A 21,176-nucleotide genomic window follows, 5' to 3' on the forward strand; every position below is an offset into this window, starting at 1 on the left:
CTATTTGATTCTTCTCTCTTTTCTTCTTTGTTAGTCTTGCTAGCATTCTATCAATTCTGTTGATCCTTTCAAAAAACCAGCTCCTGGATTCATTAATTTTTTGAAGGGTTTTTTGTGTCTCTATTTCCTTCAGTTCTGCTCTGATTTTAGTTATTTCTTGCCTTCTGCTAGCTTTTGAATGTGTTTGCTCTTGCTTTTCTAGTTCTTTTAATTGTGATGTTAGGGTGTCAATTTTATATCTTTCCTGCTTTCTCTTGTGGGCATTTAGTGCTATAAATTTCCCTCTACACACTGCTTTGAATGCGTCCCAGAGATTCTGGTATGTTGTGTCTTTGTTCTCGTTGGTTTCAAAGAACATCTTTATTTCTGCCTTCATTTCGTTATGTACCCAGTAGTCATTCAGGAGCAGGTTGTTCAGTTTCCATGTAGTTGAGCGGTTTTGAGTGAGATTCTTAATCCTGAGTTCTAGTTTGATTGCACTGTGGTCTGAGAGATAGTTTGTTATAATTTCTGTTCTTTTACATTTGCTGAGGAGAGCTTTACTTCCAAGTATGTGATCAATTTTGGAATAGGTGTGGTGTGATGCTGAAAAAAATGTATATTCTGTTGATTTGGGGTGGGGAGTTCTGTAGATGTCTATTAGGTCTGCTTGGTGCAGAGCTGAGTTCAATTGCTGGGTATCCTTGTTGACTTTCTGTCTCGTTGATCCGTCTAATGTTGACAGTGGGGTGTTAAAGTCTCCCATTATTAATGTGTGGGAGTCTAAGTCTCTTTGTAGGTCACTCAGGACTTGCTTTATGAATCTGGGTGCTCCTGTATTGGGTGCATATATATTTAGGATAGTTAGCTCTTCTTGTTGAATTGATCCCTTTACCATTATGTAATGGCCTTCTTTGTCTCTTTTGATCTTTGTTGGTTTAAAGTCTGTTTTATCAGAGACTAGGATTGCAACCCGTGCCTTTTTTTGTTTTCCATTTGCTTGGTAGATCTTCCTCCATCCTTTTATTTTGAGCCTATGTGTGTCTCTGCACGTGAGATGGGTTTCCTGAATACAGCACACTGATGGGTCTTGACTCTTTATCCAATTTGCCAGTCTGTGTCTTTTAATTGGAGCATTTAGTCCATTTACATTTAAAGTTAATATTGTTACGTGTGAATTGGATCCTGTCATTATGATGTTAGCTGGTTATTTTGCTCGTTAGTTGATGCAGTTTCTTCCTAGTCTCGATGGTCGTTACATTTTGGCATGATTTTGCAGCGGCTGGTACCGGTTGTTCCTTTCCATGTTTAGCGCTTCCTTCAGGAGCTCTTTTAGGGCAGGCCTGGTGGTGACAAAATCTCTCAGCATTTGCTTGTCTGTAAAGTATTTTATTTCTCCTTCACTTATGAAGCTTAGTTTGGCTGGATATGAAATTCTGGGTTGAAAATTCTTTCCTTTAAGAATGTTGAATATTGGCCCCCACTCTCTTCTGGCTTGTAGGGTTTCTGCCGAGAGATCCGCTGTTAGTCTGATGGGCTTCCCTTTGAGGGTAACCCGACCTTTCTCTCTGCCTGCCCTTAACATTTTTTCCTTCACTTCAACTTTGGTGAATCTGACAATTATGTGTCTTGGAGTTGCTCATCTCGAGGAGTATCTTTGTGGCGTTCTCTGTATTTCCTGAATCTGAACGTTGGCCTGCCTTGCTAGATTGGGGAAATTCTCCTGGATAATATCCTGCAGGGTGTTTTCCAACTTGGTTCCATTCTCCCCATCACTTTCAGGTACACCAATCAGACGTAGATTTGGTCTTTTCACATAGTCCCATATTTCTTGGAGGTTTTGCTCGTTTCTTTTTATTCTTTTTTCTCTAAACTTTCCTTCTTGCTTCATTTCATTCATCTTCCATTGCTGATACCCTTTCTTCCAGTTGATTGCATTGGCTCCTGAGGCTTCTGCATTCTTCACGTAGTTCTCGAGCCTTGGTTTTTAGCTCCATCAGCTCCTTTAATCACTTCTCTGTATTGGTTATTCTAGTTATACATTCTTCTAAATTTTTTTCAAAATTTTTCAACTTCTTTGCCTTTGGTTTGAATGTCCTCCCGTAGCTCAGAGTAATTTGATCGTCTGAAGCCTTCTTCTCTCAGCTCGTCAAAGTTATTCTCCGTCCAGCTTTGTTCCGTTGCTGGTGAGGAGCTGCGTTCCTTTGGAGGAGGAGAGGCGCTCTGCGTTTTAGAGTTTCCAGTTTTTCTGTTCTGCTTTTTCCCCATCTTTGTGGTTTTATCTACTTTTGGTCTTTGATGATGGTGATGTACAGATGGGTTTTTGGTGTGGATGTCCTTTCTGTTTGTTAGTTTTCCTTCTAACAGACAGGACCCTCAGCTGCAGGTCTGTTGGAGTACCCTGCCGTGTGAGGTGTCAGTGTGCCCCTGCTGGAGGGTGCCTCCCAGTTAGGCTGCTCGGGGGTCAGGGGTCAGGGACCCACTTGAGGAGGCAGTCTGCCCATTCTCAGATCTCCAGCTGCGTGCTGGGAGAACCACTGCTCTCTTCAAAGCTGTCAGAAAGGGACATTTAAGTCTGCAGAGGTTACTGCTGTCTTTTTGTTTGTCTGTGCCCTGCCCCCAGAGGTGGAGCCTACAGAGGCAGGCAGGCGTCCTTGAGCTGTGGTGGGCTCCACCCAGTTGGAGCTTCCAGGCTGCTTTGTTTACCTAAGCAAGCCTGGGCAATGGCGGGCGCCCCTCCCCCAGCCTCGCTGCCGCCTTGCAGTTTGATCTCAGACTGCTGTGCTAGCAATCAGCGAGACTCCATGGGCGTAGGACCCTCCTAGCCAGGTGCGGGATATAATCTTGTGGTGCACCGTTTTTTAAGCCCGTCGGAAAAGCGCAGTATTCGGGTGGGAGTGACCTGATTCTCCAGGTGCCGTCTGTCACCCCTTTCTTTGATTAGTAAAGGGAACTCCCTGACCCCTTGCGCTTCCCGAGTGAGGCAATGCCTCGCCCTGCTTCGGCTCGCGCATGGTGCGCGCACCCACTGACCTGTGCCCACTGTCTGGCGCTCCCTAGTGAGATGAACCCGGTACCTCAGATGGAAATGCAGAAATCACCCGTCTTCTGTGTTGCTCAGGCTGGGAGATGTATACCGGAGCTGTTCCTATTCGGCCATCTTGGCTCCTCCCCCGAGGTTTGCTCGTTAAATTTATTTATTCAGCAAATATTCATTGAGCTCCTACTGCATATCAGGGACTGGTGAAGAAATAGCTAAGTTGCTAGGAATTACTCTTTCCCTTGAGTAAGTTTGAAACTACATAGAGGTAATTAGATTGCTATCCAGATTCTTAGCATTCTACTTTAGTTTTATTTTCTGTACTTTTATTTTTTGAATGGTGTTCAATATAAATATTTTTAGTATCTCCATTAATGTTTAATAAAAGTATAATTTTTCCTTTGTGAATGTAAATGGTCTGGTAATTTTAAAATGTAAACCTGTGTTTATTGTTTTCAGATGATAAAAATAATAAATATTTGTTATGGAAAACTCTCAGGAGAATTTGATGCTTGATACTCAACACCAAGAGACCTTTCTCTTGGGATATAGATGGGATTAATAGGCTATGGTTATTATCTATTGCTTTTAAGCAAGGTATGTAAAGATCTTTGCACCCCTTTCTAGAAGATGGGTTGTGACAAAGAGAACTTTGTATTAGTATTACGATAAATTAAATAGATAGCTATTAATACCTATAAATTATCTTGAAAGTCTGTTTAGAAATTGCCCTTGCTCTTTCTGTTCTTGTAAAAGTTAGAAGCCTATTACTCTTCTTTTATTTGGGTAAAAGAATATGGTTAGTGTCATGAGTCCAATATTTCTGCTCTGGAGAAGTGATCAGAGAAGCAGAATACTCTTTACCTCACCTTTACCCAAACAGTTACTCAGATCTTCCTCCAAGGGCATGGTTGCAGGCTGCCGGCAAAATCCCATCAGCACTTCAGACTCTTCGGACAGTTAAAGAATGCCCTCTTTCGCCTGTAGTCCCAGCTACTCGGGAGGCTGAGGCAGGAGAATGGCGTGAACCCGGGAGGCGGAGCTTGCAGTGAGCCGAGATCGCGCCACTGCACTCCAGCCTGGGCGACAGAGCGAGACTCCGTCTCAAAAAAAAAAAAAAAAAAAGAATGCCGTCTTTGGTGGAGCAGTGCAGGTAACACCTGGGTAATACCTGGGTAACACTTTATTTAATACGGACTAAAAGGAACGTGAATGAAATCCTTTGACTCATCTCCATCTCTTGGTATCCTGCAATTTCTATTTTATTGTAAACAAACTAATCAAGGCAAGGGGAGGCATTCCCAATTTCATGGGGGCTAGAGCAGTATTTAATACAGAAAATTAAACAGTCTGGAAAATTATAAATAAAAAAGTATAGATTAATGGAAAGTATAGTTTACTAGAAATACTGAATTTCATATATCCTCATGTGTGTGCATATACACATATGCATAGACCTGTTTTCTACATTTGTGTGTATTTGTCATCTTTAGAGATATTTTGTCTACATTCAGAAACTGGAATCCTACCTTTGGTATTGGAAATGTAATAATACATAATTTCTTATACTAAGATTTGATTATCAGTAATATTTATTAAAGCCTTTTTCAATGTTATATGAGAGGTACCTGTACCTAACTTAATGGACATAAAGCTAAACATTTTATAAGTTAGAAATTGGGTATATTAATGTTTTCCATTGATTTATAATTTGAGGTGATTTTTTTACTTCCACTTGCTCTCCAGTTGGCAATGACAATAAATGTAAACATGTTTTTTCTTTATAAAAATACAATATGCCAGATTGAAGCTGCAGTTAGCTATGATTATGGCATGTCACTGCACTCCAGCCTGGGTGACAGAGTGAGACACTTTCTCAAAAACACAAAACAATATGCCCATTAAAACAATTCGGAGATTGCAGAAATGTTCAAGTAAGAAAATAGACCTGTGGATCCCATCATGCAGAGATAACACTATCCTAACTGACTATTGTATTCCAGCTTTATGTACTTGCATCTAATTTTTCTTTTTTACCAAGTTGAGATTATGCTGTAGATTCAATTTTGTGCCCTGCTTTTTTCCCTTAAAGTATATTGTGAAAATTCTCTTATGTCTGTTATTTTTTAATGCAATTATGCCCATCATTTCTTGATTCTATAATGTTTGAAAAGTACAAGTAAAGTTTCAGCTATTGGCTGGGCATGGTGGCTCACACCTGTAATCCCAGCACTTTGGGAGGCTGAGGCAGGTGAATTGCTTGAGGTCAGGAGTTCAAGACCAGCATGGCCAAAATGGTGAAAGCCCGTCTCTACTAAAAATACAGAAAAAATTAGCTGGGCATGGTGGCGGGTGCCTGTAGTCCCAGTTTTTACATTTATAAAACACCTCTAATCTAAGAAAATTTATTATAACATTTTCTCCAGAAATTCTATTTGCTCATGCTTGTGTGTGTTAGATGAAGCACTATTTTACAAGCTGTTGTAAGGAGCCAATAATATAAAATCTGTGAAAGGGCTTTGTGAACTATAAAACACAAAATGTTAATAGTTATTATTCAAGGAGCTCCAGGAAAGAAAAATAAAAGGCAAACGCAACTCTCGATTCCAGCAAGTTGTGGTCAGTTTTCTTTTTAGAACAAATGGAAATTGGGTATGAGAATCTTTCTGTAAGAAATGCAAAAATAACTCCTTTGACTTTCACATCTTCCTGCTGAAAAGGCACACATTTTAAAACTGATCATTTCTCTAGTTCTTAGGGCAAGAGGGAATAGAATTCTTTTTGTACTGTTTTAATTTTCAACAAGGCATGTTTATGGTACCTATCCCTTAGAGGGAAGAAAAAGAGCAAGGGAAAAATGGTATATTTGTCCACCACCACCTGCTATTTTTAGGTTGGCTAGGAGGTCCTATTTGGCTGCCTTTGCCCATCTCATTTGGCAACTCTTGAGCGTGCATCATTCAGAAGATATAAGAAGCTTAGAAGGTAGAAAAGTGGATTTCTTTGATTTTTCAGACGACATTGCTGAAAAACATATTACCACAGACAATTTGAAGGACATTGACTGTAAGTAAAACAATAAATATTTTCTTTTAGTGTGGTAGGCATATGCCACACAAACGACATGATGTATTTTCACCTTTCTGCCTTAATTAGGGGTGAGGAAGCGATGAACCTTCTGTCCTGATTTGATTTTCATCCATTGTTAAAAGAAATACTAATCTAGAAAAAGGTGCAAATACAGTGCACACACGCAAGTATATATATGCTCATATATTTTTATAGTATTTTAGAATAAGATCCTTGGAAAAGAAAGAGAAACAATATGAATGCCAAGAGAAGAACACACAGAAGCAATCCTGGAAATGACAGATTTTAAGATTAATGCACTAAGTTAGATGAATTTTAATGGTAAAGAAGTAGAAAGTTAATAGAGAAATGGAATTTTCTATTTACTTGGATAAAAGGACTTAGTGTCATACCCATGGATCATTTTAAACGAGCATACATGTGGGCATTTTACGAATAATACAATTTAACCAATTTTATTGGTAGTTTCTATAAAGTGTTCTGAAACGTTTCTGTTGTCGGGTACAGTAATTTGCCAAAATCTCCATTAAACGTCAGGTTATATGTGTTACGTAGTTTTTCTTTTGCCTCTATTATTTTATTACAATTCTAGCTTCCTTCACTAACTTTTCTTAGCTATTGTTAAATTATCATTCTCTCATAACTAAAGAATTTTATTAAATGAGTCAATAAATGTCAAATTCTCAATAAGAAAAAAGAAAATATTTATTTTCTATTATAATTACAATAATTGTTTGTACCTGGTATTTTTAATATGTGTAAAAATTCTAATAAAGTTATATTAGAAAATTTATTTAAAGCCAGCCCTATTTCAAGCTATATAATTATTTTACATAACTGTATATTTAAGATGAAATTTATTGTTTCATACCTGTTCCAAAGTTGGTATTTTTCTTGTCCAAAAGAGTTTGAGAGACACTTGCATTGTAACTTCGTCTTGTGTGTAGTGGTAATGTAAAACAATTTTGCCACTAGGAAAAGGTATGGATATAGTGCTCTATTTAATTTGTGATTGTGAAATCAGTGATGTATTATATACAGGAGTATCCACCCCAAATGATTTACATTTAAAAATAATTTTTTTACAGGTCTAACCTGCTTATAAAGAAAGGTCAGGGAGCATTTGTAAAGTGCTTTATTGTTTGCAAAGTGCTTTATTGTTTACAAAGGACCTAAAGGTCCTTTGATTATTACACACTGTATGTCTGTATCAAAATATCTCAGGTACCCCATAAATACATACACCTACTATGTACCCAAAACATTAAAAATAAAAAATTAAAAAAAATAGGTTCTACAGGGCTCTTTCAAATCCACATTTCTGTGATTTCTATAATTTTAGAGAGGCAATATGTATGGTATAGTGGGAAGCCAGACCTGGATTTACTGTATCCTGGCCTTGAGCAAGTAATTCAGCTTTTCTGAACCTCAATTCTTCATCAGGGACAATTTTTAGTAACTTGCAGTTCTAGTGAAAAGATGAAATGAGATAATGTAGAAAAGTGCAATGCTCTTAACTGCTTGATGGTAGAGCTATTGTTAATATGTATAATTCCAATTACAGCAATCCTTTTAATATTCCACAGTTGCTGCAGAGCCCATTAGAGTCATGCCTTTGAAGGGGAATATAATAGTACTAATCAATAACTGGTTTTGGTGAATTAGGAAAATGAACAGAGAATTTGTTGAAGATGTTAAAAGTAGAGGAGAGAATTGGATAAAATTGAACCCGTAGTGATAATTTGAAATGAAAACCAAAATAAAAATTAAAAGCAATGCAGATGGAAGGAAGGCCATCGCAGGAGTAAGAAATATGTCAGGACCTAGCTAAGTGGAAGGAAAGAGTGAGAACCACTTGGCTAAATCCTGGGCACACAATTTCAGGACTGGTCACGTATTAGGGCAGCCTCCAGCAATCTCTGTGGTTCATGGACATGGAACATTTCAGCAGTGGAGTGGAATGGCTTTAGCATCTGATAGACCTAGGTTAAAATTTGCGCTGTGCCACTTGCTAGCTATCTAATCGTAGACGAGTTATTTAACATCCTTCTGTCTCTTCTATAAAATGAGGGTGATAATTCTACCTCATGGAGTTGCTTTGAAGATTCAATAAGGTATCCATGCAAGGTGTTAACTTGTTTTTCTGTTTATTGCCTCCTCTTCTGCCAACAAAAATATAAGATTTGCATGAGTAGGGTCTTTATCTCTGTCCCTGTTGTATAAAATATAATAATAAACCTTTGAATATTTTTTGAATGACTGAACGAATGAACTCATCAAAGCTGTCTGTATATAGTAAGGCCATATGCCTCACTGAATGATATGAGGAAAATACTCCCAAGCTACAGTGGCATTTATAAGATTTTTGTCATGAGCCATCCTTGTCTAAGTTTCTATTATATTTATTGTTCAACCATTCAAATAACATTTAACCGTATGGTGTTTTACATCATCCATTTTATTTTATTTTTCTGATTGTACTGTTAAGTTAATGAAGGGTAGGGGGTATTTTGCCCATCGTCATCCAGTCTGATGCTATGCTTGGAGTATCACCAGACTGAAATAAGAATATATGTTGTGAATTATTGGGCCATATAATGAGAAAGTTATACATGATAATGGTGATTGGTGAATGGAATTTATACTTGCTAATGGTATGATTTTGGCTGAAGATGAAAATATATTTTCTTCAATTGCTATTTGTCGATGAAAGGCTGAAAGACGTGATATAAATCGACAGGAAAAGGACAGAAAGATCTATTTGACAATATATATATATTCTAATCCCAGAACAAAGGGTACGTGTTGCTGGATATTTTGAGATTATCTTTGGCTAACATGATCTCTCTTGCTTCTGGGACTTTGCGCATGTGTTTGTCTGGAAAATTGCCCTTACATCCTTCCCTTCACTCGACAATTCCTACTCACCTTTCAGTTATCATTTCAATGTCACTTTCTCTGAGGTACCATCCTAAGTCTGGATGAAGTGTCTCTCCTCTGGGCTCCCATAGGACCATATATACTTTTGCTATTGTATTAGGTTGGTACAAAAGTAACTGTGGTTTTTAATATATCTAAAATTATATTGTAATTGCCTATTTATTTGTTTGTGCCTCCTACTAGATGATCACTCCACAAGGGCAGGAGTTGTATATGCCTTCCATTATACTCTAATACAGTACAATAAATATCTAACACAGCTCAATAAGTATTTCTTGAATCAATGAATGAAAAATGACTATTAATAAATGGAAGAAAAAAGCCCTCAAAATAATAGCTGTCATTTACTGGATGTCTTGTTAAATGACTGGGCTTTTATAGATGTTAATATTTAATCTTTGCAACAGTCCAGATGGGGCAATTGAAGTTCAAAGGACTTAACTTGGTCAAAGTAATAATGCTGAGATTTGAACCAGGATCTCTCTGGATCCAAAGCCTCTGATGTTTCTAATTGGTGATACTGCCTCTTTCATACCTTACATTTGTATACGCTACTACAGGGCACAAAACATCATTATTCCTTATAACAGCTTTGTGAAGCTAGGTATTATTTCCCATTTTATATCTAGTAAGTGGCAAAGCTATGACTTTCAAATTTGATATTCTGGTTCAAGGTGCATTCCCTTTCCGTGATAACACAGCTGTCTCATTCTAAAGGATTTAAAGGTGTAGCCCTTTACAAAAATCCCTGAGATGATAAAAATTTAGAAAATAAGAAGTTTTTGATTCATACATAGCAGAAACAGTTCCAGAGAGGTGTATTTTAGCAGGGCTAGAGTAAATTCCAAATTTTCTTTGTAATTTTTCCTTGAGAAAAGACAAATTAATCAAATTGGGAATAATTGCTGTTAATACTATCAAGTTCTTTCTTCTCTTTGATGTCTGATTATTTCTTGGCCTCATATTACTACCAGCTCAGAATCGATAGAATCCCTACTGAAGAAACTATTGCTGATGGGGCAGCCTGGTGCTCTTGGGTGAATTTCAGGCAGTTCCTTCCTACCAGTGGCACTCCTTGTTGCAGTTTGTTTTTCAGTTACTTTGCTTATCCTATACCCCTCAAATTTTGGCTTGTGCTGGGAGGGAGCTTAGTGGGTTTGCCCTAGAGTTCATTGACTTTGGCCATCCTTGGCCTATGACTTTACTTCGCTCTTTAGCCTCCTGCCAAAAATTACTTCTGTTGAGAGGTAAGGGGGTAGAGATGAGGTAGTGGGGAGTGTTGTATTTTTGACCGAAAGAGGCAGAGGGCCAGAACTAAGGAAAGCAATTCTCTACAACTTCTTCCTGAAAATGGGGAAGTCTCTCACACATGCAGAGAAAAAAAAAATAGTGTGAAAAGCAGTTCAAATGTATTTTCTTAGTACTACCATAGTGTTTGGCAGCTGCTTTGACATATAGGTCACTGAACAGTAGGGCAATGCAAACACAGAATCTCAAAAAGGAAAGAGTTTTTTTTTTTAATTTTCAAAAACATTTTTTAAAGCTTTGAAAGATTATAGTTTCTAAAACCACAATTAACCAAAGTTCTATTATAATCTCTTAAAAATGTTAGATTTAAATGCAAGACTTAGAACCAATTGCAAATTTGAAAATAAATTGCTCTAAAACAAATATTATTCAAACGTATATCTTGATTATTGGCTATTTTGTTCTGCACTGTGCTGTTCTGTAAATGTTTGATGAAGCCATAGTTCATTATTTACTTTTCTTTGATCTCCCTGCCAGCTAAATGTATTTGTGTTTCTGTTTTCCTTGTGACTTTGCATTTGTACTATCTGCCATTGGAATGTTGAATCTACGAGTCTGATTCTTAGTAGGGGAGAAAGAGAGAGCAATTTGGATAACCCAGGCCTAAATAGGTTGTGACTGAATAAAAGGAAATACCAGGATAGTTCTTCTTAAATTGGGGTATAGTTTATATAAAGTCTGTGCCTCTTAAACTTTTTTTTTTTTGAGTTGGGGGTCTCACTTTGCTGCCCAGTCTAGAGTGCGCTGGTATGATCATAGCTCACCGCAGCCTTGACTCCTGGGCTCAAGTGATCCTTCCACTTCAGCCTCCTGAGTAGCTGGGACTACAGGCCTGAGACAACACACCTGGCTAATTTTTAAAAATTTTTGTAGAGATAGGATCTTGCTATGTTGCCTAGTTTGGTCTCAAACTCCTGGCCTCAAGCAATCCTCCTGCCTTCGCTTCCCATAGTGTTGGGATTATGGATGTGAGCCACTGCATATGGCCTTTTTGAACAAACGTTTTTTTTTTTTTTTTTTTGAGATGGAGTTTTGCTCTTGTCGCCCAGGCTGGGGTGCAGTGGCATGATCTCGGCTCACTGCAACCTCTGCCTCTCAGGTTCAAGTGATTCTCCTGCCTCAGCCACCCGAGTAGCTGGGATTACAGGCAAGTGCCACCACATCTAGCTAATTTTTGTATTTTTAGTAGAGACGGGGTTTCACCATGTTAGTCAGGCTGGTCTCGAACTCCTGACCTCAGATGATCTGCCCGCCTTGGCTTCCCAAAGTGTTGGGATTACAGGCGTGAGCCACTGCGCCTGGCCACTGTTTGTTCAACAAACATTTTAAAGTATATATACATCCATCTCACCACCACCCAGATCAAAATACAGACCATTTTTGGTACCGTCAGACTCTCAGGTGTGCTCTCTCTCTTAGGCATTACCTACTCCCAAGGATAACCACTAGTCTGATTTTCATCACCATACATTAGTTTTGTCAGGGCAACCTTTTTTTCTTTTTTTCTTTTTTTTTTTTAGGCAGTGTCTTGCTCTGTCATCCAGGCTAGGGTGGCGGGATCACCGCTCACTGCAACCTGCAACCTCCGCCTCTCAGTGTCAAGTGATCCTCCAACCTTAGCCTCCCAAGTAGCTGAGACTACAGGTATGCGCCACCACACCCAGCTAATTTTTTGCATTTTTTTGTAGAGACGAGGGGATCTCACTACGTTGCCCAGGCTGGCCTCAAATTCCTGGGCTCAAGTGATCTGCCTGCCTTGGCTTCCCAAAGTGTTGGGATTACAGGTGTGTGCCATTACTTAACATGGGACAGCCATTTTTAGCAGTGCTTTTTACATAAAACATCATGAATGGGAGTGACTGATACAAAGTTTGAGGATTAGGAATAAGTTCAGTCTTTTGTCATGACATATATGACAGTTGTGATGTGTTGCTGCATCCCAAAGACAGACATTCCCAACTGGTTCCATTGAGTTACACGTTTGTTAGAGGGCAGCCTTTGGCTGACCCTGCCAGTTGCCTATACAATACATATTCTCTTTTTCTTTCTTACTAAAGAGAATCATTATTTTTTTCAGGGCAGGCACATACATAGATAAAATATTCACCTCTCCAGATTCCCTTACAAATAAAAGTAGTCATGTGACCAATTCTGGCTAATGAGATGAAAGGAAAAAGTCTGGCAGAGTAGTCTTTAAAGAAACTTTACAAGGATTAGACTTTGTACTTTTCTGCCTTTCTATGGAACATGGACATAGAGGCCAAAGGTACATTCTCAATCTTGTATCCCTGAGGACAAAAAAAACCAAAAAACAGAAAAACAAAAACAAGAACAAAACCAAACAGACTTGAAAGACGACAGAGCAGGTAGAAAGAAGGAAATTATTTCCTTGATAACACTCTTGACAGGCTGCACCAGCTTTGGTCCACCTATTTCTGAGTTTCTTGCTACATGAGAAAATTACTTTCTTGTTAAGCTGCTGTTTATAGGATTTTCTGTTATTGGCAGCTATTTGCATTTCTCTCATATATTTTCCAAATTTTGATTGGGACCCTTAGAGATCATGGACACCGAAAAGATGATGTTATTAAAACCAGTTTTCTCAACATCTCCAAGTCACTTTATCCTTATTTTATATACTACCAACCCCAAAAGCACTGGTTGAAAAACATTTAGCTTCTACTCTTTCTCTGGACAGTTATTTACAACTACTTTAAGCCAGAATGATAATTGTTAACCTCCCTAAGTTCCCACACAATGATTTGTTTCTGAACGCTTCTCTTTTTCTAAAAGTACAGCATTTAATTTTCTTAATGAATAAAATTAGTTTTTTTTTAGAGTTGATATTATGCTTTCCAAATGTCTCAATGCAGATGCTGTAAGAATAGAAATGGGAACCAGCTGTTTAAGGATTTCCTGTCTCACAAATAACCCTCATAAGTCTGTCTTTGGATTAGGCTACAGGTCAAAGAATCAGAAGATTTTCTCATTTATTTGTTTTATATGTTTATGTTTGTCTCCCCTTCACTATTGTTTCTTAGAGTCTAGCAAACTGAGTGGCACCTGGAAGATACTTATTTGTTGACTGACTGAATGAATGACTTTACTAGTGTAAAGAGTAACACAGTGGACTCCTGTGTATCAGTCAGTATAGGTTAGGTGATGCTATAGTAACAAACTGCAAAGTCTTAGTGGCTTCATACAACAAAAGTTGATTTCTCAATTACATTATATTCCAATGTTGATCACTTTGGGGGGCTCTGTTTATTACAGTTACTTAGTCACTCAGAATGAAGGAGTCTTTACCTTGTCAGACGAGTCTACAATTGCCAAGGTGGGAAAGGGGATATTGTGACTTTGTACATTGGTTTTTAAAGGCTTCTTGATGAAAGCAATGTACGACACTTTCATATTTTATTGGCCAAAGTCAATGGCCAGTCTCCAGGTAATAGGGAAATGAAATATCACCCTGCTCCCAAATGAAGGAGAACTAGAACATTTAAATAGCTGTAATGATTAAATATGATCAGTACAAAATTAGAGAAACTGATTTGCAAATTCTGTTTCTGGTGACATAGTGGGCTAGAAATCTGGTTTGTTCATTCTATTAAAAAGCAATTAAAAATACTGGTTTGAATGTAAAACAATTCTGAAATGCTTCCACAAGCACAAAAGAAATCGAGGACATTTACATCAGAGAATGAGTGAAGATGAACCTAGAGATGTGACTGCAATGGAAACTGACTTTTAAACCTTGGTGCTAAGTGGAGTGGGAGGCTGGGGCAGCAGTTCTGGTATGGAACCCAAAAATCTGCATTAAAAAATACTATCAGGTTTGTGAATAGCAGCATTCTGTTGCATCCATTTCTCAGTAAGTTTCAGAAATTCAAGAGCTGGAAAAGGTCAACCTTTAAAAATAAGTTGTCTTGGCTGGGTGTGGTGGCTCACGCCTATTATCCCAGCACTTTGGGATGCCAAGGTGGGTGGATCACTTGAGGCAAGGAGTTGGAGACCAGCCTGGCCAACATAGCAAAACCCCATCTCTACTAAAAATACAAAAATTAGCTGACCACAGTGGCACACTCCTGTACTCCCAGCTATTCAGGAGACTGAGGCAGAGAATTGCTTGAACCCAGGAGGTGAAGGTTGCAGTGAGCCGAGATCACACCACTGCTCTCCAGTCTAGGCGACAGAGTGAGACCGTCTTAAAAAAAAAAAAAAGGAAAGAAGAAGAAGAAAAAAGCTGTGTTTTGGTTCTAAAATGATTCAATGGAAAGATCTAAGACCAGAATCTAGATTCCTTGTTTTTATCTAGTAATTTAAGAAATACATTTCCTTGGTTTCCATAGTGTGGGGCTATTGATAAAGATATTTTAACAAACATCTGTTAATTTTAAAGTATTAAAATATTTTTTATTGCTTTGAGTAGGCACAACATACATACAGCACAAAATTCAAATCTATAAATGAATATAATTGAAAATTAGATTATTTTTTCATTCTCTGGTCCTAGTTCCCTTCCCAGAGGCAATCATTGCTACTAGCGTCTTAAGTTATCCTTCCAGAGATGTTTGAGCATGTGTGTTTGTGTGATTCTTTTTAAAAATCTCACAAATGGTAGCATACTAAGTTCCCTATTTCTTCATTTATTTAACTCTACTATCTTGAAGAGCATTCCACATTGATACATATAGATTTGCCTTATTCTTGGAAGGTTGCATATGATTCCATTATACAGATGTATCCCAATTGTTCTAATATTTTGATATTTCAGATAATGCTGCATAAATATCCTTGTGCATATCTTTTTCATATGTGTCAATAGATGTATGAAATAAATTCCTAGAAGTGGAATTTCTGAGTTAAAGGCATGTACACTTGAAAATTTAATTTTAATAGTGCCAAATCACTCTCAACAGAGCTGGCACCAATTTTTACTTCTACCAGCAAAGCACGAATGTTTCTTTTTCTCCTTGTTGCAAAAATATTTCTTTTAATTTTGCCTTTTGCCATGTGAAATTTTAAAATTTGTATGTATTTGAATTGATCAATTTTTAATAGTTACAATCTTTTGTATAATACTTAGGAAGGTCTTCCCTACCCTGAGTCTATTAAAAAATTATTTCCTATTTCTAATGCTTTATGTTATGTTTCTGTTTTTACGTTTAAAACTTTTATGTACTAAAAATTTATTTTGGTATGAAGGATATGACATTAAAATTTTGTATAGATGGCTGTTGTTGTTCCCAAACCATATACTAACTAATCCATCTTTTCCTCCACTGGTGTGCAAAGCCACCTTTAGTCATAGACTAAATTCCTTAGTATAGTTATGTCTATTGTTAGACTTTCTATTCTGTTTCATTCAGCAATTTATCACCCATTCAGTAGTACCACACTATTCTAATTAGTGAAGCTTCAAAATAAAAATAAAAATGATAGGCATAGTCTTCTCTTTTTATTCATTTTTTTATTTTTTAGAGCTTCCCAGCCTTATGGCTTTTTTTTTCCTTTTAATATGCACTTTAGATACAGCTTGCTATTTTTCTAACAAAAATTATGTTGATATTTTTATTGGGATTACATTACAGTTATAGCTTTAAAGAGAGAATTGCTGTCTTCATGATGTTGAATCTTTCTAATCATGAACCTAATATTTTGGTCCTTTTTTTTGTTGTTGCAATTATAAATGGGGGTTTATCTTCCTTTTTATTTTTATTTTTTGAGACAGGTGTCTTGCTCTGTTGCCCAGGCTGGAGTGCAGTGGCGTGATTGCAGCTTGCTCTAACCTCTGCCTCTTGGGCTTAAGCGATCCTCCCACCTCAATCTCCTGAGAAGCTGGGGCTAAAGGTGCATGCCACTATGCCCAGTTAATTTTTGTATTATTATTATTATTATTATTTTGGTAGAGACGGGGTTTCGCCATGAACTCCTGGGCTTGAGGGATCCGCCTGCCTTGGTCTCCCAAAGTTCTGGGATTACAGGTGTGAGCCACAGTGCCCAGCCTTCCTTTGGATTTTTAAACTGGTTGTTGATTGTATTAATACATATGAAGGCAATTAATGTTTGTATATTAACTTTGTAACCAGTCACATTGCTGAATTCTTTTAATTGCAATTTTTTTCCCTTTAAGTTTAACAACTGATAGATCATCTACACATTATGAAGTTTATCTCTTCCTTTGCTATTTTTATACCTAATTTCTTTTATTGACCAGTTTCATTGGCTACTATCTTTTCCAGAGCAATGTTAGATAATAATGGTGAGAGCGGTCATCTTTGAGCTAACACATTTAAATTTTTGTAAAGTAATCAAAAAGGCTATAAAATATGCTTCCTTAAAACCACCCTGGAGAATATGTTTTTAGAAAGGAAATGAAGTCAAAATGCTTTCTGCAAGGGTGCCTCATATGTTTGATTCTTTCAAGTATTCTGTTCAAATGTACCTTTTCAGTGAGACCTTCCCAGACCACCTATTTAAAAGTGCACAACCCCCACCTCTCCACCTATTCTGGTTGATTTTTCTCTGTAGCATTTATCACCACTTCACAAACTATATTTCACATATTTATTTTTATAATGTATGTTTCCCTCCACTGGAATGTAAGCTCTACTAGTGTAAGGAATTTTACCCCCTTTTTGGTACTGCTGTCTCTCCAGCACCTAGAACAGTACCTGCACATAAAAAAAATGCTGTATAAATACTTGATGGATGGAATTTCCTAAGAAAATCCAGAAAAGGCCGGGTGCGGTGGCTTACACCTTTAAAATCCCAGCATTTTGAAAGGCTGAGGCGGGTTGACCACTTGAGCTCAGGAGTTCAAGATCAGCCTGGGCAATATGGCGAAAACCTGTCTCTACAAAAAAATACAAAAATTAATTTGGTGTGATGGTGTGTGCCTGTAGTCCCAGCTACTTGGGAGGCTGAGGTGGAAAGACCACTTGAGCCCGGGAGAGCCAGATGCTGTCTCAAGAAAAAGAAAAAAAAAATCCAGGAAAGGTGCTACTATAAGAGAGATTTGCTTACCTCTAGTTAGATGTCAGTATAGAATAGGGATTAATTACCTGAAAAACTTGATGGAACTTTAAAAAGTTTAGTGACATCATTTATTTCTGTCACTCTGTTTCTCCATAGTGATAAATAATAAATGAGAATCTTCAAATCCCAGTGAGTCTGGGAAGATAAGAATCCAGGTGTTGAGAGCTGTAAAGAGGAGAATAGGCTGAGACTTGAGGCTGCACCAGCAAGAGTTCCCATATAGCTCCCTGACTGGCATCTATTTTAAAGAAAAATTTTTCATCTGTTTTGCAGAAATGACCATTAAAGTATTTTACTAGAAATATAATTCACCAGGAGAAATTGAGTTCCACAAAACAAACTTCATTGTTGTTCAAAACAGATGTTCCTTTCTTTGTACTTAACTCACCATTAAAATTAAACACAGCAAGGTCTTTCAAAAAAGCAGTGAGAAACTTTAAAGGAGTTATGTCTAGGACGTAGCCATGATTATTAAGAAAAAGAAAGGAAGGAAAGGAGGGAGGAGGAAGGAAAGAGGAAAGGAAGAAAGGAGAAAAAGGAGAAGAGAAAGGAAGGAAGAAGGGGAGGAAGGAAGAAGGGAGGGAAAGAGGGAAGGGAGCAAGCAAAAAGAAAAATGAAGGAAGAAAATAAAGGTTATGAGATTTAAACAAAGTAGTTTGTGCAACTGTGTGCAAATTCTGTCGGCAAATTGTCCTGGTGGCCTCAGTGTGGGAAAATGAGTTGCTCAGCAGGGACTGCTAAAAATACAGCAACCAGGAAGACGAAATGACTTCACGCTGGCACATTTGCCTGGCTAGTGCTTGATCGTTGTTTGTTCTGACTTCTACTTCTGGTACAGTGTCAGTGCCTCTCCTTAAACTTTGTTCATTAGAGTAAAAGGATTAGCTTGAACCTGGAGGACATATAACAAGGCTTAATTCAGAAGCCAAAATTGGGGATCTCTAGCTCAGAGACGCTCTTCACATTTGCGCTATTATTAGCACCAGGATTAGGCTGAATTTAGACTAGCATTCTTATTGCACCTGATGGGAAAATAGGAGGTTACTGCATTTAGACTGAAGGAAATCACGAATGTCAGCCTACTATTAACAATGTTTTAGATAAAAATCGCAAGAATCTATGTTAGGATCTTAAAGTGGATTTCAAAGCAGTGTGTTGTTCATCCGGACTAGTCTCTTCCTTCCTTGCTATTGTGATTTCTATTAATGTATTTCTTTCTTACCTTCCATTTCATCCCAGATGGACATAAGGGACTGTCTTTTTCAGTGAGGCAAAGGAAATGCAATCCTATTTTTTGTCTCTCATTTCAATCAGAGAAAAAACAAAAGCCCTTGCCATGCTCTGTAAGGTACTTCGTGATCTCCAGCTTCACTTCTCACCCCCTTCCTTCTTGCTCACTTCACATCAGCCACACTGGCTTCTGCTGTTCCTTGAACATGCCAAACCCACTGTTGTCCCAGGAACTTTGCCCTTGCTGTTCACGCTGCCTGGGGTGTTTCCGCCAGCTCTCTCCATGGCTCACTCCAGCTCTTCCTTCAGGTCTCCGCTCAAATGTCTTGGCTGACTACCCAATCTGAAATAGCAATCACGGCCGGGCGCGGTGGCTCACGCCTGTAATCCCAGCATTTTGGGAGGCCGAGGTGGGCAGATCACAAGGTCAGGAGTTCAACATCTGATCAACATGGTGAAACCCCGTCCCCACTAAAAATACAAAAATTAGCCAGGCATGGTGGTGGGCGCCTGTAGTCCCAGCTACTCGGGAGGCTGAGGCAGGAGAATTGCTTGAACCTGGGAGGAGGTTGCAGTGAGCCAAGATTGCCATTGCACTCCAGCCTGGCGACAGAGCGAGACTCCATCTCTAAATAAATAAATAAATAAATAAATAAATAAATAAATAAATAAATAAATAGCAATCCCGTCAACCTGCCCCTGTTTCCCCTTACCTATCTTACCCTACTTCATGTTTGCTTATTGTTTTTATCACAACCTAACAAATTATATTTTTGTTTATTTATTTATTGTCTTTCTTCCTCAGCTACAGTGTAAACTCCACTGAGGACAAAACGAATTCCTCAGTGCTTAGAATGTGTTCTTAGTCCCGAGAATGTTATCTGGAAAATGAAGCAGATGCTTGAAGAATATTGTTGAATGAATAAAAGAATCTACTTTTGTCTGTAATCCCAGCATTTTGTGAGGCTGAGCTGGGCGGATCAACGGAGGCCAGAAGTTCAAGACCAGCCTGGCCAACATAGTGAAACCCTGTCTCGACTAAAAATACCAAAAAATTAGCTGGCATGGTGGCACATGCCTATAATCCCAGCTACTCAGGAGGCTGAGGCAGGAGAATCACTTAAACCCGGGAGGAGGAGGTTGCAGTGAGCCAAGATTGCATCATTGCACTCCAGCCTGGACAATGAAGCCAGACTCTGTCTTTAAAAAAAAAAAAAGTATCAACTTTAATCCTGGGCACTTTAATGTGAAGGTTTGTTTCTTTGGGTTTTCTGCAATGTGCTTAACTCTTCTGTGGCAGTTGGGAATGTATTTCTCATTTAACATTAAAAGCCATCTATTTTTGCAAAATGTTTTATAAATATGAACTTTAAAAAATAAGGCCAGGCACAGTGGCTGACACCTGTAATCCCAGCACTTTGGAAGGTTGAAGCGGGCAGATTGTTTGAGTGCAGGAGTTTGAGACCAGCTGGGGCAACATGGCAAAACCACATTTTTACAAAAAATACAAAAATTAGCCTGGCATGATGGAGAGGGCTGTAGTCCCAGCTTCTTGGGAGGCTGAGACAGGAGAATTGCCTGAGCCTGGGAGGCAGAGGTTGCAGTGAGTTATGATTGCATCACTGCACTCTAGCATGGGCAAAAGTGAGACCCTGTCTCAAAAAAAAATACATATACATATATATGTGTAAAAACACATATACATATATGTAAAAATACATATACATATACATAATATATAATATATACATAAATATATATATATAAAATAAAATATGTAAGGAGGTTATGTTTGAAGTTGATTAATTAGTGGTCCTGGATTTTTAGAGTATGTACTTTTTTTTTTTTTTGAGACGGAGTCTCGCTCTGTCACCCAGGCTGGAGTGCAGTGGCGAGATCTCAGCTGACTACAACCTCTGCCTCCTGGGTTCAAGTAATTCTCCTGCCTCAGCCTCCCGAGTAGCTGGGATTACAGGTGCCCACCCCCATGCTCGGCTAATTTTTGTATTTTTAGTAGAGACAGGGTTTCACCATGTTGGCCAGGCTGGTCTCGAACCCCTGACCTCAGGGGATCCCTCCCACCTTGGCCTCTCAAGGTGCTGGGATTACAGGCATGAGCCATCTTGCCCAGCCCTGAGTATGTACTTTTAATATTGGTTTCTATCTCGTTCTACCTATCACACTCTGTGTTAGGTAGACAAAGATAAAGACCCAAAGAAGATATTTATTCAATTAATCATTATCCAGGCTAATGGACCAGCTACTTGCTATACCCATTTTGCCTGTGTTTGTTTTTATATTTTCCATGTGTTAGAGACAATCAATATTTTGGCTGAGAAAGTTTGGCTACAGGCTATCTATGATGAAAAAAGTAAATAAGAAATAATGAGCATTGTAGCAGACGGTTTTGTTTTCTATTCTGCTTAATGATGCCTAAGAATTTGAAAGCAAGATTTGCTATGGATCACCCTATTTCTATTTCTCCTCCTACTGCACTCCCCTAGTTCCTTCCAACAAAAATACACTTTTAAGCATTTTCCCATACATTAAC

At 38.2% G+C, this 21,176-nt stretch overlaps 1 protein-coding gene across 2 annotated transcripts in view, besides 2 other annotated features; it reads left to right on the top strand.

Annotated features, from left to right (window-relative positions):
• Positions 2,238–2,840: an enhancer, noted in NCBI's record as "NANOG-H3K27ac-H3K4me1 hESC enhancer chr4:71924658-71925260 (GRCh37/hg19 assembly coordinates)". NCBI's record gives its function as "activates a minimal SCP1, AML or CMV promoter by ChIP-STARR-seq in primed H9 embryonic stem cells {active_cell/tissue: H9 hESC(primed)}" and the evidence as "EXISTENCE:reporter gene assay evidence [ECO:0000049][PMID:30033119]".
• Positions 2,841–3,441: an enhancer, noted in NCBI's record as "NANOG-H3K27ac-H3K4me1 hESC enhancer chr4:71925261-71925861 (GRCh37/hg19 assembly coordinates)". NCBI's record gives its function as "activates a minimal SCP1, AML or CMV promoter by ChIP-STARR-seq in primed H9 embryonic stem cells {active_cell/tissue: H9 hESC(primed)}" and the evidence as "EXISTENCE:reporter gene assay evidence [ECO:0000049][PMID:30033119]".
• Positions 5,957–21,176, top strand: part of SLC4A4 (solute carrier family 4 member 4) — a 509,424-nt gene continuing 494,204 nt past the window's right edge. For both annotated transcript variants that reach the window (XM_024454268.2, NM_001440628.1), the window contains exon 1: positions 5,957–6,085. The gene's annotated coding sequence lies outside the window, so the exon portion shown is untranslated. The remainder of the gene's footprint in view (positions 6,086–21,176) is intronic.

Source organism: Homo sapiens, chromosome 4 (genome assembly GCF_000001405.40).
Source record: "Homo sapiens chromosome 4, GRCh38.p14 Primary Assembly".
NCBI classification, from domain to species: Eukaryota; Metazoa; Chordata; class Mammalia; order Primates; family Hominidae; genus Homo; species Homo sapiens.